Source organism: Homo sapiens, chromosome 7 (assembly GCF_000001405.40).
Source record: "Homo sapiens chromosome 7, GRCh38.p14 Primary Assembly".
Taxonomy (NCBI): domain Eukaryota; kingdom Metazoa; phylum Chordata; class Mammalia; order Primates; family Hominidae; genus Homo; species Homo sapiens.
This window is the reverse complement of record NC_000007.14, coordinates 47,841,477-47,866,710: the sequence shown is the minus strand read 5'-3', so window position 1 is coordinate 47,866,710 and position 25,234 is coordinate 47,841,477. Positions and strand designations below refer to the sequence as shown.

The following is a 25,234-nucleotide window of genomic DNA, read 5'->3' as shown; positions in this document are numbered from 1 at the left end:
TATTTTTGCAACAAATCCCATCCCACTCTTGGTAGTCAGGGTGAAAAGTTTTGCCGTGTGTTGGAACAGTAATGATAACTCTTGTGTTTCCTTCAGGTATAATTCCAGCCTGAAAAACCTTTCTACCCTCCAGCTGATGGGGAGTTACACAGAAATCAGGAACTACATCACTGTGATCACCAGAATCCTGAGTCGTTTGTCTAAGGAGGACAAAACTGCCTCCTGCAACCAATGGTCACGAATACAGGATGCATTAATTTCTTCAGTATGCAGATTGGCTTTTGTAGATCAGGTATGGCTCAGAGGAGGGTGAGTTTAGTGTCTGTAAACCTTTATCAAGTGGCAGGGCTCATGACTGGCTGGCTCACTAGCAAGTGGTCATGCTTATGAAACACAGGCAAGAAATGAGACCAAGAGGGCCAGCCAGCTCAGCTCCCATACATGGCTGTGGTCTCTCTATTCAGCTCATATGTATCACAAATGAATGCTGCTGGTTTATAAAAGAGAGAATGACCAAGTCAATCGTTGTTACAGATAATTCTGCTGAAGTTTGTGTAAGTAAAACTTATGTGAAACAGTCTGATTTTATCTTGGAGAGTTAAGTTCATGATTTTGTGCAACTTCTGAAGAAATTACCATGTATTCAAATGTGACTGTACTTGCTCACAGCATTTATGCAACTGCTATCTTATAACTGTCAATAGAGAATATTCACATCTACAAAGAATATATCTTATTTCATTACAACTTTAAGATACTTCACTTGATGTAATTTTTTTCTCATTCTTCCTCTTTTTAAAAATGTTGCTTAGCTCTGGCTGGGCGCAGTGGCTCAAGCCTGTAATCCCAGCACTTTGGGAGGCCAAGGCAGGCAGATCACGAGGTCAGGAGATCGTGACCATCCTGGCTAACACAGTGAAACCCCGTCTCTGCTAAAAATACAAAAAAAAAAAAAAAATTAGCCAGGTGTGGTGGCAGGCGCGTGTAGTCCCAGCTACTCGGGAGGCTGAGGCAGTAGAATGGCATGAACCCGGGAGGCAGAGCTTGCAGTGAGCTGAGATCGCGCCACTGCACTCCAGCCTGGGCGACAAAGCGAGACTCCGTCTCAAAAAAATAAAATAAAATAAAATAAAATAAAATAATAAATAAATTGTTGCTTAGCTCTGCACCCTTATTTCATCAGCCCTCGTGTCAGTTCCCTGATGGAGTGTGCTGAGGATGTCTAGGGGGCACACAGGAGAGATGCTGGATTCCAAGGAAAACCAGAGACAACAGTAATGGTCTCTGTACAGAAGGTCTGGCCTCCAATTGGTCTTTTGGCCAAAAAGCAGGGAATCTGTACTATTTCTACATAGGCAAGCTGTAACTTTAACCCAAACAAGCTAATTTCCCTCTCCTTGCATTTTCTTTTTGTTTTATTGTTGTTTCTTCTGGTCAGGAAGAAATGATTGGTTCTGTTCTTATGTTGAGGGACCTCGTGAGCTTCTCTAATAAGGTAAGTGCAATTTTTTCCCAGAAATATTTTCCTATTTTATATAGTTTTGAGGGACATGATCAGTTCTTGAAAAATACACTGTCCAGAATCATAGTTTGACACTTAGATTAGAAATGTGATTTTCCCTTAAGAATTCATCTGAATAGCAAAGCCCATCTCAGAAATTTTGAATATAGAAATTTGGAATCTAGGCCAGGCACAGTGGCTCACACCTGTAATCTCAGCACTTTGGGAGGCCGAGGCGGGCGGATCCCGAAGTCAGGAGTTCGAGACCAGCCTGACCAACATGGTGAAACCCTGTCTCCACTAAAAATATAAAAATTAGCCGGGCATGGTGGCGCGCACCTGTAATCCCAGCTACTCAGGAGGAGTACTCTACTGAGACAGGAGAATCGCTTGAAGCCAGGAGGCGGAGGTTGCAGTGAGCCGAGATCGCGCCACTGCACTCCAGCCTGGGCAACAGAGTGAGACTCCATCAAAAAAACGAAAGGAAAGGAAAGGAAGGGAAGGGAAGGGAGGGGAGGGGAGGGAGGGAGGGGAAGGGAAGGGAAGGAGAGAGGGAGGAAGGAAGGAAGGAAGGAAAGAAAGAAAGAAAGAAAGAAAGAAAGAAAGAAAGAAAGAAAGAAAGAAAGAAAGAAAAGAAAGAAAAAGAAAAAGAAGGAAGAAAGGAAGAAATTTGGAATCCCAAAGTAGAAATGGATGAGAACACGTACTATCCATGCTATGAATAATTTTGGCAAGGGGCTTGTTCTTTATTGGTAACACATGGCATTGGGTTTTTCCTTCGTCACACCTTCTTTTCTTCTTGAGTCTCTGGCACACTTTCCTCCCCGTCAGCTGATGTTCCCCCTGCATTGCTGCTTGAGAGATGAGAAGAGCACGCATCATTCTCTCATCTACCTCCAGTCTGTGAATCTAACTATGGCCATGCTCTGTCACCACAGAAGGAATCTCCAGCCCCTGCATAGGCTTCTCCCTTTATTTGTGTGGAGCTCTCCTCCAGGCTCCTCTCATTGTCCCTCATCTCAATCTGAGTGACGGGTGCCCCAGTGTTGGACAACGCCTAGCCTGCATGGGTGCAGGCGGCACAGTCCTGCTCCTGCCCACCTTGCCTTCTCCAGAGTTTCTCTTTTCATTTTCCACTCTTTGCTGCTGCTTCCACTTCTTTCTTCTGAATGATCCTGCACATGCTTAGAATCTCACTTATTTTAAAAAAAAATCCCTCTAGTGAAATCAAACCTGCTTCCAGCTTCCACCTAACTTTTCATGTTCCTCTTCACAGCAGAGCATTTAAAAAGTGAGTTCTGAGCCTGTTATGGGCTATACTTGCTGCCTCTTGTTTGTGTGTGTGTTTTTTTAAGAGACAAGGTCTCACTGTGTGGCTCAGCCTGCCTCAAACTCCTGGACTCAAGCCATCCTCCCACCTCGGCCTTCTGAGTAGCTGGGACCACAGATGCACGTCACCACACCTGGCTTCTCGTGCATTTTAGACCATCAAACTTTGGCTTCCATCTCCATCCACACTGCCGCTGCTCCTGCCAAAGTCACAGCAGATCTCTATCTGGCCAAATCCACTGGACACCTTCTGCTCCCCATTCTCTCCCTGCCGGGGACCTTCTGTGGGGCTCAATCTGCTTTGGGGGACACGCTCTTCTCTAGGCTTCACGACATGATTTCTTGGTTGGCCTTGTTGACTGACCCCTGTTGGCTCTTCCCATCTACAGTTACGTGGTCAGTATCTCAGAGCTTTGTCTTGGGCCTCCTAGATTCTCTGTCCACACCTCCTCCCTGTGTGATCTCATCCACTCCTTCCACTTTACATCCATCTGATAGGGACTCTGCAACCCACACCTCCAACCCAAAGCTGACTCAAGCTCCCCAGACACGCACGTATAACTACACGCTCTCATTTCCACACGGGCCGAAACTGCACAGACCCAGCATGGCAGAGTGGGCTCCTCCCCCAACCCCTTCCAACCCCGTGTTCCTCCTACTTTCTTCAGCCCAGGACAGGGCAGCACCGTCCATGCAGAATCCCATGTTAAAGCCCAGGTGTCACCGGAGTCCTTTCTTCCCCTCATCCATTCACTTATAAAGAAGTCCCATCTGTTCTTCCTCAAACACGTAGCTAGAATCTTCCTACCTCTCCTGCCTCTACTGCGCTTCACCCAAATCCAAGCAAATGTCATTTCTCATCCAGGTTGGCAGTTTCTCTCACTGTCCTGTCCTCTCTGCCTCCTCTCAGGCCACCTTAGAAAACAGGCTACACACAGCAGTCAAGTCATTGTAAAAGCCTGAGTCAGTGAGTGCCACTCTCCTGCTCAGCACTCCCCGTGGCTTCTCCTTGCGTGTGGAATAGAAGCTAAACATCTTATGCACCTGCAGTGTCTGGCTCCTTCTTTCCTTCTGTCCTCCTTTCCTGGCTTTTCTCCCGCTTCCTAACCATCCTCCAGGGGTACTGCCTTGATCCTTTTCCCGCTGTGCCCTCCCCTTGGCTTTTCAAATAGCTGGCCCTTCATTGACTCAGCACAAATGCTACTTACTTTCTTAGAGACATTGTCCTAGACCCACCATCTGAAGGTAATTATTATTATCCTCTCTTCCTGTTATGGGCTATCCCCTTCAATATTTTCACAACAGCAACTATCTCATTTATTTCTTTAATGCTGCTCTTCCCCCACTGGAATGTCGACTCCATGATACCAGGGATCTTCCTCTTCACCACAGAAATACCATAGGTGTAACGCATGGCAGGCGCTCAAGAGAGATGGGCAATGGATACAGGAACGGGGGCTGGATGGCCCTGTCCTCCTACCATCCCTCCTGCCTGAGTCTCCCCTCCTCATCTCAGGCTGCTCCACTCCAACAACCTCCAGTCTAGGTGGGAGGGCATCATCATTCACCTCTCTTCTGATGATCTGTCTTTATAAGCAACACACCTGGTCATGCCATCTGTTTGTTCAGAGTACTTGATGGCTTTCTAGTAGTTTGAGGACACAATCCAATTGCTCTTTTTTTTTTCAGACAGAGTCTCACTCTGTCGCCCAAGCTGGAGTGTAGTGGCACAATCTTGGCTCACTGAAACCTCTGCCTTCCGGGTTCAAGTGATTCTCCTGTCTCAGCGTCCCTAGTAGCTGGGATTACAGGTGCACGCCACCATACCTGGCCAATTTTTGTATTTTTAATAGAGACAGGGTTTCACCTTGTTGGTCAGGCTGGTCTCGAACTCCTGACCTCAGGTGATCCACCTGCCTCAGCCTCCCAAAGTGCTGGGATTACAGATGTGAGCCACCACGCCTGGCCCAATTGTTTTTTTTTTTTTTTTTTTTTTTTTTGAGACAGAGTCTTGCTCTGTCGCCCAGGCTGGAGTGTAGTGGGGCAAGCTTGGCTCACTGCAAGCTCTGTCTCCCAGGTTCACGCCATTCTCCTGCCTCAGCCTCCCCAGCAGCTGAGACTACAGGCGCACACCACCATGCCCGGCTAATTTTTGTGTTTTTAGTAGAGACGGGATTTCACTGTGTTAGCCAGGATGGTCTCGATCTCCTGACCTTGTGATCCGCCCGCCTTGGCCTCCCAAAGTGCTGGGATTACAGGCGTGAGCCACCGTACCCAGTCCCAATTGTTCTTTGTATCATACGAGGACTTCACCCATTTCCACTTGACTCTCTGCACCTCATTGTGCACACAACCCAACGTAGGCATCTTCCCTGTGTAGGCATTCGGGATGCCCCTTATGTCCTTGAAATGGTATGTTTTCCCATAACTGGAGCAGGTTACTTCTTCCCCTGGAAAAATATTACTTTCTCCTCAAGGGTAGATTCAAATGCCACCTTCTCCGTGAAATCTTCACAAAGGTCTGAAGGCAGAGTTCATTTTGTTCGAGACAAATTTGTACGTGACTTTGTTTTTAGCACTTCAACACCTTTGATTTGTAATTTCTTTTTGTGCATCTGTCTTCCAACTTTAGACTACTCAGCCTCTTAAGATACAAACTGTATTAGTTAAAATAATGTTAGCTGCTGTAACAGATAACCCTGAAATCCCAGAAGCTGAATACAACAGATATTTTTTCTTCATTCACACACATTCCGTAGCAGGTGTTCAGTGGGTGTCTCCCTCGTGGTGACTCAGGGACTCTGGCCCCGTCCATCTTGTGCCCCAATACCTCCACTCTGTGGCTTCCTAAGTCAGGGGAATAGCACATGGAGAAGGTATGCTGCCTGTCGGTCATGTGGCGCTGCAGGTGCACACCTCGCTGCACTCACCTTCCCCTGGTGAGCATCACATGGGCTCACCTGGACTCGAGGGACCTGGGAAATGGAATTACTTCCCATCGATGACCCTACATGAGGCTCCAGAGCATGAATCTGGTAGAGATCAAATCATTCCTGCCATTGTCCCTCTTGTGCATCTCTGAACCCCAGGGTCTGCCACAGTTCTTAGTTCAGAGTGGGAAATAAAAATGAACATGATTGTCCTCTTAAAGTGACCATTCTGATATTTTTGGTCAAAAAAGTGGGCATTGTGAAAGTGGGCATAATATATTCTTTAAAGCACTTGTTTAATTTTAAAGATTATTCTTTCATTTAAGTCCTAATATCCATGGTAAGCTACCTCATGTAAAGGGCCTTCAATAGTAGTTTAAACGCATTTCCAAATTAGTTTAATCTTATTGTGGTGGAAGAACTAGATTTTAAAAGGTATATCTAAGCCATTAGATATCATTGTGGTTAAATAAGCCTGGCCAATAGAAAACAGAATCTCAGTTTCATTTCATGGACACACATTTATTTAGCAATTGCTAGGAGCTGCTAAGGTACAAAGAAGAAAAAGATTAGTCTGTGTCTTTTAAGCATTGATGAATGAAGTTGCAAACAGATACATTTCAATAAATATGCTTAGTCCTACGATCAGAAGAATGACAAAATTCTGCATAAACACAAGCAGTGATGCAGCTGACTTTGTCTCGTAGACATTTGAGGTTGGTTTTAAAAGATACGTAGTAAAGACTCGTAGTTTTGTTAGATGTGATCATGGCATTGTGGGCATATTTTTAGAAAGAATCCTCATCTATCAGCACTACACACTAAAGTGTTCATGGATAAAAATAATACCTGAGATTTGCTTTTTGCTTCTAAATATTTTTTTAAAGTTAAGTAGAGAATAGAAGAAAAAATATTCCAGTGAATAATTGTTAAAGTTGGGTGATAGACGTATTATACTACCATACTATTCTTTCTACTTTGTGTAGGTTTGAAAGGGGACTACATTAACAGTTCAGAAAAATAGGCTGGGTGTGGTGGCTCACACCTGTACTCCCAGCACTTTGGGAAGCCGAGGCGGGTGGATCATGAGGTCTGGAGTTCAAGATCAGCCTGGCCAAGATGGTGAAACCCCGTTTCTACTAAAAATACAAAAAAATATTAGCTGGGCATGGTGGTGGGTGCCTGTGATCCCAGCTACTCGGGAGGCTGAGGCAGAGAATTGCTTAAACCCAGGAGGCGGAGGATGCAGTGAGCCAAGATTGTGCCACTGCACTCCAGCCTGGGCGATAGAGTCAAACTCCATCTCAAAAAAAAAAAAAAAAATGTATGTCTTTAGTCCCAGCACTTGGGAGGCTGAGGTGGGAGAATCATGTAAGCCCAGGAGTTCAAGTCTGCAGGGAGCTATGCTTGTGCCACTGCACTCCAGCCTGGGTGACAGAGTGAGACCCCATCTCTAAACAAAAAGAGAGAGAGAAAGAAAAAAAAAGGAAAAGAAACAGAGAGAGAGAAAAGCAGGATTGGATTCTGCCAGTCCAAATGAGGGTAAAGGTACTGCAGGTAGAGGAATCTGGAGGGCATCAAGAAAAAGCCTCGATTCTTTGGGTACAATAAGAGATTCAGCATGGCTTGAGAATAGAATGCACATAGGTAATGGGGAGGGAGAAGGCTGTGGGAGGAGGTGGGGGCCAATTTGTGAAGGGATTTGCAAAGTGGTCGTTGGGGTTTAAAACAAATAACATCTTAAAGCATAGAGACCATTTGTTTTCCTTTGGTCAAGAGGCCGAATATCAAAAAGCAGCTTGCTACTTAGGAAGCTGGCCAATAGTCACCTAGAGACCAAACCTGGACTTAAATCCAGTTCTCTTAGCCCGTAGTTCAGTCATTTTAATTCCTTATAATAATGAAAAAGGCAAGAATATATGCATCATATGCCATGAGGCACTTTATTTACATCTTTTCTGTTCATGCAGCTAAGCTTTATGAGTGCGGTTCTCATCCTCAAATACACCCGGGCACTCCTTGCTCAAGGCCAGGCATTTTATTTACATCTTTTCTGTTCATGCAGCTAGGCTTTATGAGTGCGGTTCTCATCCTCAAGTACACCCGGGCACTCCTTGCTCAAGGCCAGTTCTCGGGGCCATTTGTGATTGACAAAGGAGTGAGGCTTGAGCTCATCGGTCTCATATCCAGAGTCTGGGAAGTCTCTGAGCAAGAAAACTCGAAGGAGGAAGTCTATCGACATGAAGAAGGAATTACAGTCATCTCAGATTTATTGTTGGTAAGTCACACTTTTTCTCCATCCATAAAAATACTGTTTCCATATCCCAGGATGTTAACCTGTATTTGTAATTGCTTCTCAAAACCAAAAACAGAATCAGTTTCTGAAGTACTGTGTTCATTCTTCTGGGTGGCATTTTGGTATTTGGAGACTTTCATTTTGAATTTTAAGTATTTCATGGTAATATTATAATGTTTCCAGTGAAACCTTGCTTCTATTTTATCCTTTTTTTGTTTTGGTAGATTTTCATTTGGGATATTTGGGATGTTTGACTCAGAAACATTATTTCTCAGGATACCTTCTGTTTTTTTGAGGAATTATGTGAAGTAATGCAAATGATTTATTGCATGCAGCAATTTTAAAAGTAGCCCTGCTGATACATAACTTCTTAAAAAGGCCAAAGTTTATTTCATTTATTTCTGCTCTGGTAACTTTGGAAATTGTCTCCGAGACTTTTTTATTTTTACTTTATGAAATGGCCAGTGCTTTCAAGAAGCAGTAAGTGAATAGGCTTCTGGCGTTCCTCTTCTACCAATTTAGCATCCCTCTCCAGTCCTGCTGGCTTATTTAACGGATGGCTACTGTAACATTTGGGAAATTAGCAAGTAAATAGTCTATCTGAACCTACTAATAATCATCATCATTACTCACAAGTGTTTAAGAACATTTGTTGCCTACTTACCCAGCGCTGAGCCCTAAGACCTGCGCTCTTGCTTCCTGCCATCCAATCTAACTTGAGATGGGCTTTTTAACTACTTTTCCCCTCTCTCCTAGTCTGGATTCAAGACAGTTTGTGCATTTGTGTTATAAACATCCCACTCCCTATGCTCTATGTTTCAGGGTTGTCTCTCTTTGAACCATGTTAGCACTGGGCAGATGGAGTTCCGGACCCTTCTTCATTACAACCTTCAGAGCTCTGTCCAGAGCCTGGGATCTGTCCAGGTGCATTTACCTGGTGACCTTGCTGGGCACAGTCCTGCTGGGGCGGAGACACAGAGCCCATGCTACATTAGCCAGCTCATACTCTTCAAGAAGAACCCATATCCAGGGAGCCAAGCTCCTGGGCAGGTACAAGCTGACAGATGACCTGCCACTTCTAATGACCATTTCAAATTTGCAGTAATTGGGCTTAAATGACAAAAAGAGAAACTAGGTTGGCATATTTGCACCTGTTTTTTGCATGTTTGCACCCTCTCAGTGCCAAGAGGGATCACTTAGAACACGTTGCTGACTCTACTCCTCTTAGAAGATTAGCTTCTCCAGAAAACTCCTGGCAAAACTAGATGTCACTTGTATCTGGGACACTGGGCCCATTCACTGTTTCCTTGAGGCCTTCTAATCCATTGTCAGAGAACAGAAGGCTCTAGGGGGTTGCAGCATGTGATGCAGTGATTATGCAAGCATTCTGGCCAATCGTGTCTTTAGAACGATGAAGATATGGGTCTAACATCAAATGCGGAGTATACCTGAATGACGCTTAAGAAGGGGCTGCTGAGGACATGGCAGTGCTTACCCCCCATCCTCCCTGCTCACCAGAGAGGCACTGCTGGGCTGAACCTGCAGGGTGGCCCCTGGCTCCCTGAGAGGTCAGGAGGAACAGGGGACCACAGTGAAAGGGGGATGTGAGGATGGGGAAGTCAGGGAGGATTGTCCCAGCCACTTGGCAGTTTTGTAGACATTCACTCGGAAGCTTTGTGAATGACCCCAGGGTCACCATGAGTGAGTTTGGAAGGGCAGAGAGCAAGGATTCTCTATTTCTGTAGCCCCCGACCCCAGTCTGGCTCAAGTACGTGGCTCATTTGGTGACCCATCAAATGTCTGATGGATGTATGGACAAATTAGGTACATCTTATTTTGGTCAAAAAATGCTCATCTTTTACAGCATTTGCTTTTTTAAATGGAAATGGAAATGGCTAATCAGCATAGGAAAATAATTCAAACTAACAATCAATAAAAAACACAAATTAAAATGATTTTTTTACCTTACAAAAGTGCAATTACTTAAAAACACTTACTGCTTGTGGAGATGCAGTGAGTAAACCAGGGTGCTCGGCAGTGTGACATTTTGGAAAGCACTTTGTCAACTAGGCATCCAGCAACAACCTGGCCTACACTGTTACACTTGTAAGAATCTACACTAGGAAAATGAGAAAAGATTTGTTCAGAACAAGATGTCTTGTCGTATTTATTTGCTCAAAACAATATTATTATAACTCAAATAGAAATGTACCTAAATGTTCAGCATAGGGATAGAGTTCATATATAGCTAATTGTTATTATGTCAATCAGGGAATTTTAGTAATTTGGGAAGACTGCAAAAATATAGACAACTGAGGCCGGGCACAGTGGGTCACGCCTGTAATCCCAGCAGTTTGGGAGGCCGAGGCGAGTGGATCACCTAAGGTCAGGAGTTCCAGACCAACCTGACCAACATGGTGAAACACCCGTCTCTACTAAAAATACAAAAATTAGCCGAGTGTGGTGGCACGTGCCTGTAGTCCCAGCTACTCGGGAGGCTGAGGCAGGAGAATCGCTTGAACCTGGGAGGCAGAGGTTGCAGTGAGCTGAGATCACACCACTGCACTCCAGCCTGGGCGACAGAGCAAGACTCTGTGTCAAAAAAATATATAGATATACATATAGACAACTAAATTGTCTGCCAAATATGTACTCTATTACATAGCAAAATTTGATACTCAACATCCTGAAATATGATTTCTATGAGCAATGGGACTATAGAATAGCTATTCTTCACTCTTGCATATACTTTTCTTTTTTTTTTTTTTTTTTTTTTTTTGAGACGGAGTCTCGCTCTGTCGCCCAGGCTGGAGTGCAGTGGCGGGATCTCGGCTCACTGCAAGCTCCGCCTCCCGGGTTCACGCCATTCTCCTGCCTCAGCCTCCCAAGTAGCTGGGACTACAGGCGCCCGCCACTACGCCCGGCTAATTTTTTGTATTTTTAGTAGAGACGGGGTTTCACCGTTATAGCCGGGATGGTCTCGATCTCCTGACCTCGTGATCCGCCCGCCTCGGCCTCCCAAAGTGCTGGGATTACAGGCGTGAGCCACCGCGCCCGGCCCCACTCTTGCATATACTTTTCTATACCTTCCTGATTATCTACAATGAGCAGATATTTCTTTTGCATTAGCTTTTAAAATAAAAAATACTTCAAAATACTTTAGAAATTATTAATTTTAATAAGAATGATGCAAATGAAGCATAATATTCACTCCAATCCTGCCATCCTGACTAGTAAAACTGGTTTATTTTTGTATGCTAGCTTCTAATATCAGGCATATAATTTTATGTAAGTGTAATAGCAGCACCACGATACTTTGGTTTGCTGCTTTTCTCACTTAAGTCCATTGCTTGCTGTCATTTGCTCTGAGATGGTCTTTGTTCCCCAAGATTGGTGGAGTTGTGGGCCTCAACCTCTATACCTGCTCCAGCAGAAGACCCATCAACAGGCAATGGCTAAGGAAACCCGTGATGGTCGAGTTTGGGGAGGAGGATGGCCTGGTAAGGAGAGCCTTTCTCAGTATCTCTACTTCATTTAGGCTGTGCTGGCTGATTTTTAATGTGTTTATTTTACCAAAGGCAAATTTTGCTTAACTTGTTTTCTTTGTGATGACAGGATAATAGGAGAAATAAAACGACATTTGTATTACTTCGGGATAAAGTGAATCTCCATCAGTTCACTGAGCTTTCCGAAAACCCCCAGGAATCTCTACAGATAGAAATTGAATTTTCCAAACCTGTTACAAGGGCATTTCCCGTCATGTTGCTAGTAAGGTGTGTTGATGGTGACAGCTACAATGAGATTGGAGTAAGACATATTGTCCTTAAGAATGTTTTGTGACAAAAAATCAGTGAATTAAATTGTGTTTTTAAAGCAATAATGAGGCTCATTGTTTAAAGAAATTGTTATCTATTCTGCTGTTTGGATGCTAAGCTTCCTGACTTTGGTTTTTGAGTTTGAATTCCTGCCTGTTAACATTATTAGAGTGAGAAGCATTATAATTATTAGTGATAATGCATACAGTCTCATTTAGAAATCTAATTCTTTCAGTATAGGTCTGAGCAAGATTTTTTTTTATTTTTCCAAAAGGAGAAAATGTGTTTAAATTTATATATCTAAGGAAACTTCATAAAATAATTATTTTTCTCAGGAATGTTGAGTTCATGAGATTTGTATAGGCCCCAGTTAATAAATAAATTACCTGGGAAGGTAATTGACTATTGGGAAGGTAAGTGACTATTGAAAAGATTCTTTGAAATTCTACAGCAAATGTGCTAATGGAAACCACCAGTCTGCAGAGTTCGTTGGAGGTCTGGATGGGCAGGGCCTTGATCACCTTCCTTCTCGGAGTCCCCGTGTGTTTAGTCTATGTGGCAAAGATGCTCACTGTTCTACTGCTCCTGGTTGGTTAGGTGGGCATCTCAACTAGATTAAAGGGTTCTCGTGAGCAAGGCTGTATCTTACACAGGCGCTGTCCACACAGCCCTTAGCACGCAGTTTAATCTCTGCTTATTGGCCTGACTCTCATTCTGCCAAATGAGCTAAGCATTCGATGTCTAAAAGTGGCTGTCTGCTTAGAGTTTGGATTTTAATTTAATTCTTTAAGTCACATGCAGAAAAGGTAAATCAGTTCTGAGGAATTTCTGAGTCTAACTACTAAGACTACTACTTAGTCTAGTTTTGTGCTTGCTATCTTTTATCTGCAAACAGGTTACGGTAAAGAGTTAACACAAACATGCAAACATACGTGTGGGTGCTGCAGTGCCCCTCCCTAACCACGTGTAGCCAGTGCTGTTTGTCTTATTCCTACAGACTGTGCTGGCCATTCTTGTACTTGTTTGCTACTGAAGTGTTTGTTTGGTTTTTGGTGTTTTTTTTTTTTTTTTTTGGTTTGTTTGTTTGTTTGTTTTTGAGACAGAGTTTCATTCTTGTTGCCCAGGTTGGAGTGCAATGGTGTGATCTCCGCTCACTGCAACCTCTGCCTCCCGGGTTCAAGTGATTCTCCTGCCTCAGCCTCCCGAGTAGTTGGGATTACAAGTGCGCATCACCACGCCCAGCTGATTTTGTATTTTTAAGTAGAGATGGGGTTTCACCATGTTGGTCAGGCTGGTCTCAAACTCCCAACCTCAGGTGGTCCGCCCATCTCGGCCTCCCAAAGTGCTGGGATTACAGGTGTGAGCCACCGTGCCTGGCCAAAGTGTTTGTTTTTAATGAGATGCAGGGTGAAAGTGTTATGTAGGAGTTTTTACTAAGAGACCAGGTGGTGTTGTGGAATTAAGCACATTGACCCTTTTTAGTCCCAGGCTACCTCCTTGCAGTGACAAGGATGTTTTGCACAAATTGAGTAAACTCTTGATAGAAATTTGACTAAAACCTTTGAGAGAGAAGAAAAAAATGAGAAATCCCTATTTTGTTTTTATCTCCTAGATTCTCTGAGAAACCTACTCCCTCTGATTTTCTTGTGAAGCAGATCTACTTCTGGGATGAGTCAATTGTGCAGATTTATATACCTGCTGCTTCTCAGAAAGGTCAGTGAACAGGGCGCCTTATTTTCCCTTTCTGTTTACATGATTAAAACATCCCCTATAACCTTTGTATGTATAGTGGTGTTTTTCTTTATTCATGACAAAAACATCAGAATCCTTTCTCTGCTTGCTTATAAACAAACTGCTCCACTATAGATCCCACACATGGAAACTGCCCCATGATGAGCGCCATCCTTGTGATGCAGTGGCTGGTGCTGCTCACTGCCCTACCCATCTCTTCCCAGGTGGTCTCTGGCGCCTCCTCCTGATCCTTAGGGCTCTGCTTGTGCTCAGGCTAAGTCTTTGCCTGAAGCACCCTCCTGCCTTGCTTCCCTCAAACTAACCTCTGCTGAGCTTCCCTGACCTCAGAGTTGACCCAGGACTTCTGAGACGTCTCTGTGTCTCACGTATCAATAGGGCACAGGACCCCCTCTGAAGCAGTGTGGGGGCAGAGTGTGAAGTTTGGGGCTCACCCCTTCTCCGTGGTCTGCCCCTGGTGGCTTAGGATTCTGAGCCTCAGTAACCCCTTCCCCAAAAAAGCAAGAAACTGGAGCTCAGTGGGCTGAAGTGGCACCCACAGGCAACTCACCAGACACGCGCCTTACACTGACTTCCACAGGCCCTGGCCCTGGAGAGGAGCTGGCTTCTGACTGTCAGTGAGTGCGCCAGACCCATTGTCTCTACATGTTTACTGGGATATAGTTATTTTCTTCTGAGAACCAGTATTTGTTTCTTTTAAAAATGAATCAAACTGTATTGCTCATCAAATTCAAATTCTCAATGGTATTTTTTAATGTTGCATTTCATGTGTTCTTTTTCACAGTTTTTATTGTAATTTCAAGCTGATAGAAAATTAGAAAAATACGCACAACATATACCCATATCCTTTTCCTTGAGATTCACCATTTGTTGATTTCTGCCACATTTGCCTTATCTGCATGTGTACAGGTGTGCACATGTGGGTGGGGGATGTTTTTGAGGGAGAGGACAAGCCGTTAGAGAGAAAGTTGCAGGCCCCATGACATACCACCCCTGAATACTTAAACATCTCATGAAAACAAGGGCATTCCCTACAAAACTCAGTACATTATCATAAGGAAAAGAAATCAACATTAATTCAAGAATATCTATTCTGTTATCCACATTTAAATTTTTAAAATCCCCCCAAATGCCTTCTATAGCTCTTTATATTTTTTAATCAGAAGTAGGTCAAAGTTCATGAATGCATTTTGTTGCTGTGTTTTTATATAGTCCCTTTAAAAATCTACAACACCCTCCCAATTTTTGCCTTTTTTTCAGACTTTTTTTTATGAGCTTAGGTTAGTTATTTTCTGCATGTTGTACATTCAGGAAATTGCCTGACTGTTTCCTCATGATTAAATTCAGTTCACAGATGATTGGCAGCATATTCCATAGGCGATGGTGCTAAGTTTGGTAATTTGCTTGGGGAAAGAACCTCCAATCTCTCCATTTTCCCCTTTGTGAGATGATACTTTTGAGACCACCTTAGTATCTTCTTGCCTTACAAACTGTCACCCCATGATTTTAAGGATCCATGGGTGATATAGGTACATAGAAGGCTACAAAACGGTGATTTGCTAATTCCACCATGAATTAGCTGGCATTCTTCAGTAAAGAAGAGCTTCAGTCTCTCTCTGTCTTACTCTTGCTCTCTTGTCTCTATGGTGCATGGTGTTTCTTAAAAATTCAATGTGTTAAAAAAAAAATTCAATGTGTTTAGTTCACCTCCATTATTTTACTTTTTGATGCACAAATTATTCCAGTGGGAGCTCCTCCAAGATGCTTCCTGAGGTTTTCTTGACATGACATCACAATCCTCAAGTGCTTCTTTACTTTCTGGGACACCAGCGTGTCCTGGCTTATCCTGTGTTTGGCCAGCCCTTCCTTGGAACCGGCCATGTCCTCAATGAGGCTTGGCTCATTGATGGGAAATGACATTAGAACACAAGAACTGCGCATCACATTTGCTCATTGCTATTGGGGCGTCACTGATTTAACGTCTGTGTGTGTGTGTGTATGTGTGTGTAAAATGAGTTAATCACAATGCCTTAATTCAAATCCAACACCCAGGGTTCCTTATTACTTTCTCCCATTGTGTGTTCAGATCCCCATTCTCCTACAGTGAGAATTCCAGTTGCCAAAATATGAGAACTTGAGAGCCAGTTTCCAAAGAGCAAAATTCACTTTGCTCTATCCTACAGTATACACCAAATCGTTTTAGAATTAAAGCACCTGTACCCCTAACAATCACAAACCTACCAGATAAAGTTCAATATTTCTTTCTAGATTTTTTGTTTAGTTTTGACTTTACATTCTTACATGATATATTACAGTAAGAGCACATAGTCAAAAGTTAGTTGAATTAATTATTTTCTCTGTGGGTTTTTGCTATACGTTTTATATACAGCTAGGTTCACTTTTTTGCATGTACTTAATGCTAAGCCTTACTTTTATCCTTTTTTTTTTTTTTTTTTTTGAGACAGAGTCTTGCTCTTGTTGCCCAGGCTGGAGTGCAATGGTGTGATCTCGGCTCACTGCAACCTCTGCCTCCTGGGTTCAAGCGATTCTCCTGCCTCAGCCTTGTGGGTAGCTGAGATTACAGGCATGCACCACCAGACCCAGCTAATTTTTGTATTTTTAGTAGGGACAGGGTTTCACCATGTTGGTCAGGCTGGCCTTGAACTCCTGACCTCGGGTCATCCATCCTCCTTGGCGTCCCAAAGTGCTGGGATTACAGGCGTGAGCCACGGCGCCCGTCCCCATTTTTTAACATTAATTTATGTTTTGAATTTGTGAGACATTTTTATTGTTCAGATGTCTAAAGCACATTTAAAGATGTATGTATTCAGAGCTAAATCTTTCAACAGCCTTATTCTTATACCTTGTTATCACCTAGTCCTTATAGGTAATTGTTTTCATTTGTTTCCTTTATTTTATTTTATTTCAGTAGTTTTTGGGGAACAGGTGGTTTTTGGTTACATGAATAAGTTCCTTAGTGGTGATTTGTGAGATTTTGGTGCACCCATCACCCGAGCAGTATACCCTGCACCCTATGTGTAGTCTTTTATCTCTCACCCCCTCATCCTTACCCCTAAGTCCCCAAAGTCCTATTATGTCATTCTTATGCCTTTTCATCCTGATAGCTTATCTCCCACTTATAAGTGAGAACATAAAATATTTGGTTTTCCATTCCTGAGTTACTTCACTTAGAATAATGGTCTCCAACTCCATCCAGGTTGCTGCAAATGCCATTATTTTGTTCCTTCTTATGGCTGAGTAGTATTCCATGGTGCATACATACCATATTTTCTTTATCCACTCGTAGGTTGATGGGCATTTAGGTTGGTTCTGTTGTACTAGTTTACATTCCCACAGGCAGTGTAAAAGTATTCCCTTTTCACCACATACACAACCAAAATCTATTATTTTTTGACTTTTAAAAATTATGGCCATTTTTGCAGGAGTAAGATGGTATCTCATTGTGGTTTTAATTTGCATTTCCCTATTACTTAGTGGTGTTGAGTATTTTTTAGCCATTTACATATCTTCTTTTGAGAATTGTCTGTTCAGGTCCTTGCCCACTTTTTGATGGGGTTATTTGTTTTTTCTTGCGATTTGTTTGAGTTCCTTATGAATTCTGGATACCAGTCCTTTGTCAGATGCATAGTTTGCAAATTTTTTCTCCTACTCTGTTGCTTGTCTGCTTACTCTGCTGATTATTTCTTTTGCTTTGAAGGAGCTTTTTGGTTTAACTAGGTCCTATCTATTTATTTTTGTTTTCATTGCATTTGCTTTTGGGTCTTGGTCATGAATTATTTGCCTAAGCCAATGTCTAGAAGAGTTTTTCTGATGTTATCTTTTAGAATTTTTACAGCTTCAAGTCTTAGATTTAAGTCTTTGATCCAGCTCGAGTTGATTTTTTACATAAAATGAGAGATGAGGATCCAGTTTTATTCTTCTACACGTGGCTAGCCAATTATCCCAGCACCATTTGTTGAATAGGGTGTCCTTTCCTCACTTTATGTTTTTGTTTGCTTTGTCAAAAATCAATTGGCTTTAGGTATTTGGCCTTATTTTTGGGTTCTGCATTCTGTTCCATTGGTCTACATGCCTATTTCTATGCCAGTAGCATGCTGTGTTGGTAACTATAGCCTCGTTGTATAGTTTGAAGTCTGGTAATGTGATGCCTCCAGATTTGTTCCTTTTGCTTAGTATTGCTTTGGCTATGTGATTCCATATGAATTTTAGGATTGTTTTGTCTAGTTCTGTGAAGAACAATGATTATAATTTTTTTTTTCTTTTGAGACTGGAGTTTCACTCTTGTTGCCCAGGCTGGAGTCCAATGGCACGATCTTGGCTCACCACAACCTTCACCTCCTGGGTTCAAGTGATTCTCCTGCCTCAGCCTCCTGAGTAGCTGGGATTACAGGCATGCGCCACCACACCCGGCTAATTTTGTATTTTTAGTAGAGACAGAGTTTCTCCATGTTGGTCAGGCTGGTCTCGAACTCCCGACCTCAGGTGGTCCACCTCAGCCTCCCAAAGTGCTGGGATTACAGGCGTGAGCCACTGCGCCCAGCCTCGATGATTATAATTTTATGGGAATTGTTTTCCTGATGTTTCTTTTTGGGAAAATAAGCCCATGCATACCCACATTATTTCCCCTTATTTCTTACACTCATTTGCATTGTGCTTTTCTTACTTAAATTACATATTTAGAAATCACTCCGTATGTATTTATTCATCGATATCTTTTTTTTTTAACTGCTATGTGCTTCTCCATTGTATAGATGGACCGTAGTTTATTCAGCCAGTCTCCTATGTATTCACATGGAAGACTTGTGCATATACTGTATTACATGTAGGGGGAGGAGTGTATCTTCAAGTTTAATTCCTAGATAGGCTGTTCCTGGGTCGGATGGTAAATGCCTATGTGGTTTTGGTAAGTATTGTCACGTTTACCTCCAGCAGTGTCTGAAGCTGCCTGTTTTCCCACGTCTTTGCCAAAAGGATGTATTTTCAAGCTATTGAGTTTTGCCAGTCTTATAATTGAGAAATGTTCATTTTAATATGCATTTTATATGAATTAAGTTGGGTATTTTTTCATATATTTAAAGCCATTATCCACTTTTTTTCTGTGAATTGTTCATATATGCCCACTTTTGTATTGAGTTTGTTTTTTCTTGATGTTTAAGAGCTCTTTATATGTTAGGGCTATTTTTAAAATAGTAATTTATCCACCATTTCTTGTAAGACTCTTAGATTTTGAACCATCGTTCAAAATTTATTTCTTATGTCCAGATTATAAAAGAAGTCATTCATGTGTTCCTCAGTACTTGTGCAGTTTGTTTTTGTTTTTTCTTTCATATTTAGATATCTGATTTGCTAATGTTTATTATTATTTTTTATAGCATGAGGTGCCCATATTTTTACAAAGGGCTAATGTCTAGTTGTCCCAACACCACTTATTAAAAAGTCTTGGGCAATTTTTAAATAAGTAGAATGTTAAATACTTCTGCTTCTAAATATAAAAAGTAGGCTAAACATAAAAAAAAAATGATAGGCTAAAACTCCATGGGTCATTGTGCTGTCCTTACCAGAATGGGTTTAGACCCTGGGTATACTGAAATTTCGCAGGCTGGCTGACAAACTGGCGAGGAGCAGGAAGTGGGCTTGAATGGCAGCTAAAGAAACTGACTCAACCCTCTTCCATCCCCACTAAGGTCAGGGGGTGTGGCCTGTTCAGGGTGTCAGGGGGCACTTGGAACATACGGGATGCTAGAAACACTGTTTTTCTTCCCAATTCTCTACCATTCCTCAATTCGTATCTGCATCCAGGAGCTTTGACTGGGTGGATTTAATCCAAATTTAAATGCTTCGGGGACAGGAAATGGCTAGAATTTGATGCTGTCTTTCAGTTCTTGCTCATCTGTAGTCCTTGTCCCCACCTATCTGCCTACTCTGTCTGCGTTTGAAATGGAGAATGCCTTTCTGCAAACCTCAGGTTGTACTTTTTATTTATGTTTTCTCTTTTTAGATGCCAGTGTAGGCTATTTATCCTTATTGGATGCTGACTATGACAGAAAACCTCCAAACAGATATTTAGCTAAGGCAGTGAACTATACAGTACATTTCCAGTGGATCCGATGCCTGTTTTGGGACAAGAGAGAGTGGAAATCTGAACGTTTCTCTCCACAACCAGGGACTTCTCCTGAAAAAGTGAACTGCAGGTATAGACACATTTGAGAAAGAATCTGAGATTTTTAGTAAATGACTGCCTTGTCTTCTGCATTTGGCCCAACCCCTAGAGCCTTTCCTGAACCTTGTCCATAAGAAGCTGGAGCTCTCTTGGTTTGTACAACTCTCCAGCCTGTGTCAGTTCTCTCATAGCCAGTTCGTGTGTCAGCCTTGGTTCTCCCACTCTATGGGCTCCCAAGGAGCAAGGGCTGCTTTATAGACTGTCCTCGTATTCCTCCTTCCCGTACCGACTGTCATGGAGGAGGTGTTTAGTAAGTGTCTGTTGAAGACATGAGTCGGTGGATGAGTGATAGATGAACCTGTCAGTTTTCTTATCATAGAAGTGCTGACATCCTTTGAGTACGCAGTTTGTAGTCAGGCAGGTGGGACCCTCAGCTCTCACCATGCCCCCATGTTGCCCTGAGAGTCCCTCATCTTCAGAGGACCCTCCACAGCCTGGTGGTGAAGGTGTGCTTTCTGAGGCAAGAAAAGTCTCTGCGCAAACATGAACAGCCTCCTCAGGAATTTCTGGGCATATGAGTCATGTCACTAAATTAGAAATTGTTTGTCATCTAGCTGACAGACTAACAATTCTATAAGAGGCTCAGATCATTCTTTTTTGTTGCCCTTACCTTTTCATTAGGATAAACAATTATTAGTCATATTTAGAAGCAGAAATAGTCATTTCCTTTTAAAAAACAAATAAGCCATAAGACATTATATTTTGTGATTTCCTGCTAGGAGGCAAATATATCCAGATCATACCGTAGCAGTGCAATTCATAGCCATTTATTGATTTTCTTATGTTACACTCTTAAATTTTTCTAATGCCATTGCTAGGAGCACATCCAAACTTACTGGTAATGGCCCAATATTTTGCTTCCATATTAAATTATTGATAAATGCATTAATGCAATCATTCATTCTCCATTACGTAACTACTCTCTGCTAGGCACTTTTTTATGAGCCAAGGGTACAAAAATGAATAACAGGCCAGGCGTGGTGGCTCATGCCTGTAATCTCAGCTCTTTGGGAGGCTGAGACAGGTGGATCACTTGAGGTTAGGAGTTTGAGACCAGCCTGGCCAACATAGCGAAACCCCATCTCTACTAAAAATACAAAATTAGATGGGCACACACCTGCAATCCCAGTTACTTGGGAGGCTGAGGCACAAGAATCGCTTGAACCTGGGAGGCAGAGGTTGCAGTGAGCTGAAATCACGCCACTGCATTCCAGCCTGGGCAGCAGAACAAGACTCCATCTCAAAAACAAACAAACAAAAAATTTAAAATAAATCAATAACACCTAGGACCTGCTCACAAGATAATGAGGGTGAGATAGACTTTATTTTTAAAAAAGGAGACAGTGTTTACAGTGATTGTCAGGGTAGGATATTTGTAATGCCAGGAACTGGTGCTTAGGCAGAGGAGTTGGCCAGAGCTTGACCAGCAGCACAGCTAGGCTGTGACTGGGACCCGAGAGCCTCAGGCTGCAGCCATGCTGTGGAGGGCTGTCATGAAGACCGCCATATGCTGTGGAGTCTTGCATCTCAGGACAGCCTCCATGGGAGCCATGTGCCCCAACACGCAGATGTGAAGAACTCTGGCACATCAGAAGTGTCCCTCATTTCTAACTTAGGTGTCAGGTGAATCTTTTAAACTGGGTCTTAGTCATAAAGTTATCATTATTGCACTCTTTCTTCCTTTTCTCATTCCTTTAACCAACATGCCATTACACTGTCAACAGCTGCTCTCTCCACACATTCTGTATCCTCATCCGCATTTCCCTCCTAGCTACCATCGCCTCGCGGCATTCGCTCTCCTAAGGAGAAAGCTGAAGGCCAGTTTTGAAGTGAGTGACATTTCCAAGCTACAGAGGTAAGTTCCATTTCCTACATAAAGACTTCATAGACTTTATTTGTTTTACTGTTCACTCAGGATGCCCACATATAATTCCGGGGGTGCTTGAAATCCATGTTACTTACTATCATTGCATTTTTGAAATGTGCATATTAGTAGATAATTATCTTTAAATATTATATAGTTGAATATATACTTATATATCTTGTCTCTCTATACTTGAATTCACTGATGAGAGATTTGTAAACACAAGAAAGTCAACATACTTTTCATACTTTTAAGTTTAGTTTTAGTTCAGTGTGAATTTGGTCAATTATTATTGATAGGGTTGATATCTACAGTGACAATAATACCTAAAGAGCCTGTCCTGGTTTATGTTTATTGTCACAGCCTAATTATTAATAGCTCCCTCTTTCTCTCTCTGGAGTATCCCATTTTAGATAATAGATTTAAAATGTACACTATTTTTATAGCCACTTTTATATGAAATGGTTATATTTAGACTCTGAGATATGAGTAAAGTGAATGTAAGCTGATATGGACAGGAACCTTCCCTGTCTTATTCATCAGTGTCACCCTACATTTAATACAATGCTTAGAGTAAATATTTGCTGAATGAATATCTAGGGCAGAGTCTGCATTTTCTGGGGTGTTGAGTGTTAAATTTTTTTCTCCTTATATTCATATAGTAAGAAACTCTACCTTACTTTATTATTTCATCAATCGTATTACTTTATAGACTAGTTGGTGGACCAGATAATTAGTAAATAAGATATGAATTGCTAATGCAACAGATGTTGGGTGCAGAACAGGTCACTGGCCATTCAGTGATCAGGGCTCAGAAGACAGCAGCCTCAACCATGGTGTCTGCGGCATTGATACCACTGGGGCTGGGGCAAACCATGGGGGAAGCAGCCCTGGAAGATGTCCAGAGAGAGGCAACACCTGAAGTTCTACAGGGGCTATCTGGCCAGAATCCGAAAGGTTTCAGAGTATTGTCCAGGTGGAAGGATGTGAGCACCCTGCAGAGCTCGTGGGGCAGAGCTCTGAACAGGCTCTATCTTGGTGGGAAAAAAGAGGGCAGGTGAGAAACCAAGAGCAGAGCCCAATCCTCAGATTAAATCAAAGAGCAGAATGCTAGGGGATGGGGCGGGCAACATCCCCGTGTGACATAGACCCTGGTGCCCACCCTCTGAGATCCCATCACAAATCTGTAAGACTCCAGTTAGGTTAGAGTCCCTGCACAGCAGCTTGATATGAATGTCATTCTACGGAACTGTGGGCATTCAGTGATCTCACCCCAGCCAGTGTTGGTGCCTGGGAACAGGTAGGTAGAGGCTACAGGTAGGGAACAAGCAGCACCATCCACAGGGGCGGTGGGAGGCACAGGCAGGGTCTCCAAAACATTGCCAATGCCTCCTAGCCTTGTTCTGCTAGCAGGAGAGGGAGAGAGGGAGGAACATAATGGCACCTGCATGTTTCAAGAATTTTGTATATTTGTATTGCTTAATCTTTACAATAGCAGCGAGACTGGCATTCTTAGCCATAGTTCACAATGAAAGTTCCTCAGACCCAGCATGGCACAGCCACCTAGCACAGAGGCTGGTCCATTACAAGGTTTCTTTGGTTCTGGAGTCCATGCTTGTGGGGTGCTGCTCACTGGACCACAGGCCAGCTCCCTGCCTTCAAAGCCCTTCTAACTCAGCTTCCAGCAAGTGTAAAAATGTATCAGTGAAGCCCAGCAGGGACTTTTGTGTGTAAGGGGCTAGGGGTGGCAATCAGTCTTTTCCTATATGTCTATTTTCATGAGCAATTTTCTTTATATCTCTCCTTTTGTTTATAGCCACCCAGAAAACTTGCTTCCCAGTATTTTTATTATGGGTTCTGTGATTCTTTATGGATTTTTGGTCGCTAAAAGTAGACAAGTAGATCATCATGAAAAAAAGAAAGCTGGTTACATCTTTCTGCAAGAAGCTTCCCTGCCGGGCCATCAGCTATATGCGGTCGTCATTGACACTGGCTTCCGAGCTCCGGCCAGGTTGACCTCAAAGGTAGCTCGAGCATCTGGGGGTACTCTTTGATGGTGTCTAAGCAGTGTCAACATCAGAAGTGAGGATTTGGTGATTTGGCTGCCCCGTCTGTCACCTGTCACAGCAGCCTCATCTCATTGCTGAGGCAAAGCTTGCCCGCCCTTTCCACTGCCCTCCCTTGGCCTGCACATCTGTCAGGGTGAAGAGCAGACCCCTTCACCTTCTGCAGCTGCTCCAATCCCTTCTCCTTCTGTCTCCACTGTGGAAAGCAGCCCGGGGAGATATGTTCTGTCTCTGAGTGGATCTTTGAGACTCTGAGAATGAGTTGTACTCTTCTGAGCTTGGGGCTGAAGACAACAGTCCCAGAGAAGCTGGTGGAGGATGAAGATGGGGTGGGAAGAAGGATGCGGTGGAGGAGGAGGAAATAGTCTAGCACTGGGCCCAGTGGAGCAGGGGTGCCGCGGTGAGCTGTGGAGGTGAGGTCTGCAGGGGCAGAAATTGAGCCCGGCAGAGCCATGTGCAATTCGAAGTGCGTGTGACACAAATCCCTCAGAGAGGGAGACTCCCTCTGCCCTTGGAACTCACGCTTCCATTTCCCGAGGGAACCATGGTTACTTTATGGAAGCAATAGGATTGGGGTGTGGATGAGAAAGAGTTAGATGGGAGGATGAATAAGATGGGGTGCCACAGTGCAGTAGGATAGATGGGGACACAACACATTTTTAAAGCTTATGTGGTCCTTACTCACCATAAGCCCTTCGTCTACCAACTGTATATTTAAATTGTCTTTCAGATAAACATACATGTATATATTCACAAGCAATGCATACACATAGGAATGTTCTTAACCTAACAAAGGAAGATTTAGTGGTGAAGCTTTAGATGATTTCTAAGGGATGTCTGCTGTCAGCACTGCTATTTATCATTGTACTAGAAATCCTGGTTAAAAACAATAAAGCAAGAAATAAAACAGGAATATAAGTTTCCAAAAGGGAGAAAGAGATGGTTCTTCGTACAGGATGAGGTTGTCTACATAGCAAATGAAGAAGCATCTTCACTCTAATGATTAGCACTAATAACATTAAAGAAACTTGCTGAATTTGTGATTAAGAAAAAATCATCAAAATAATCTCTATAAAACAGCAATAACTATTTATAACATGGAGTTGAAAACAAGAACCTCTTTGTCACAGTAAAAAATGGTGGGGTGCCTAGAAGTGAATTCATCAAACCCCACATACAAGACCATCATGAAGGAACTATCCCTGATATGCATAAGAGATCCAAATAAAGAGCTATGTTCATGGATGAGAAAGCCGATTTTCCTTTGTCATTTCTCCCAAATTAATCTATAACATTAATAATAATAGTGTGAATGAAATTCTATTAATATACCCCCTTTACAAATGAAAACCTAAGGCATAATGAGGTTAAATCCAATTAAATCTATTCATAATTCCAGGACAGTGTTTTGTGGAACTTGGAAAACTGATCCTAAAATTCAGG

General features: G+C 42.7%; 1 protein-coding gene across 2 annotated transcripts in view; it reads left to right on the top strand.

Annotated features, from left to right (window-relative positions):
* Window positions 1–25,234, top strand: part of PKD1L1 (polycystin 1 like 1, transient receptor potential channel interacting) — a 186,293-nt gene that overhangs the window by 94,196 nt on the left and 66,863 nt on the right. For both annotated transcript variants that reach the window (XM_017011798.3, NM_138295.5), the window contains 10 exons: window positions 97–292; window positions 1,439–1,495; window positions 7,826–8,038; window positions 8,879–9,106; window positions 11,446–11,556; window positions 11,672–11,829; window positions 13,484–13,584; window positions 19,640–19,832; window positions 21,633–21,716; window positions 23,542–23,749. In XM_017011798.3, the coding sequence (XP_016867287.1) occupies window positions 97–292; window positions 1,439–1,495; window positions 7,826–8,038; window positions 8,879–9,106; window positions 11,446–11,556; window positions 11,672–11,829; window positions 13,484–13,584; window positions 19,640–19,832; window positions 21,633–21,716; window positions 23,542–23,749 (1,549 nt within the window). The remainder of the gene's footprint in view (window positions 1–96; window positions 293–1,438; window positions 1,496–7,825; window positions 8,039–8,878; window positions 9,107–11,445; window positions 11,557–11,671; window positions 11,830–13,483; window positions 13,585–19,639; window positions 19,833–21,632; window positions 21,717–23,541; window positions 23,750–25,234) is intronic.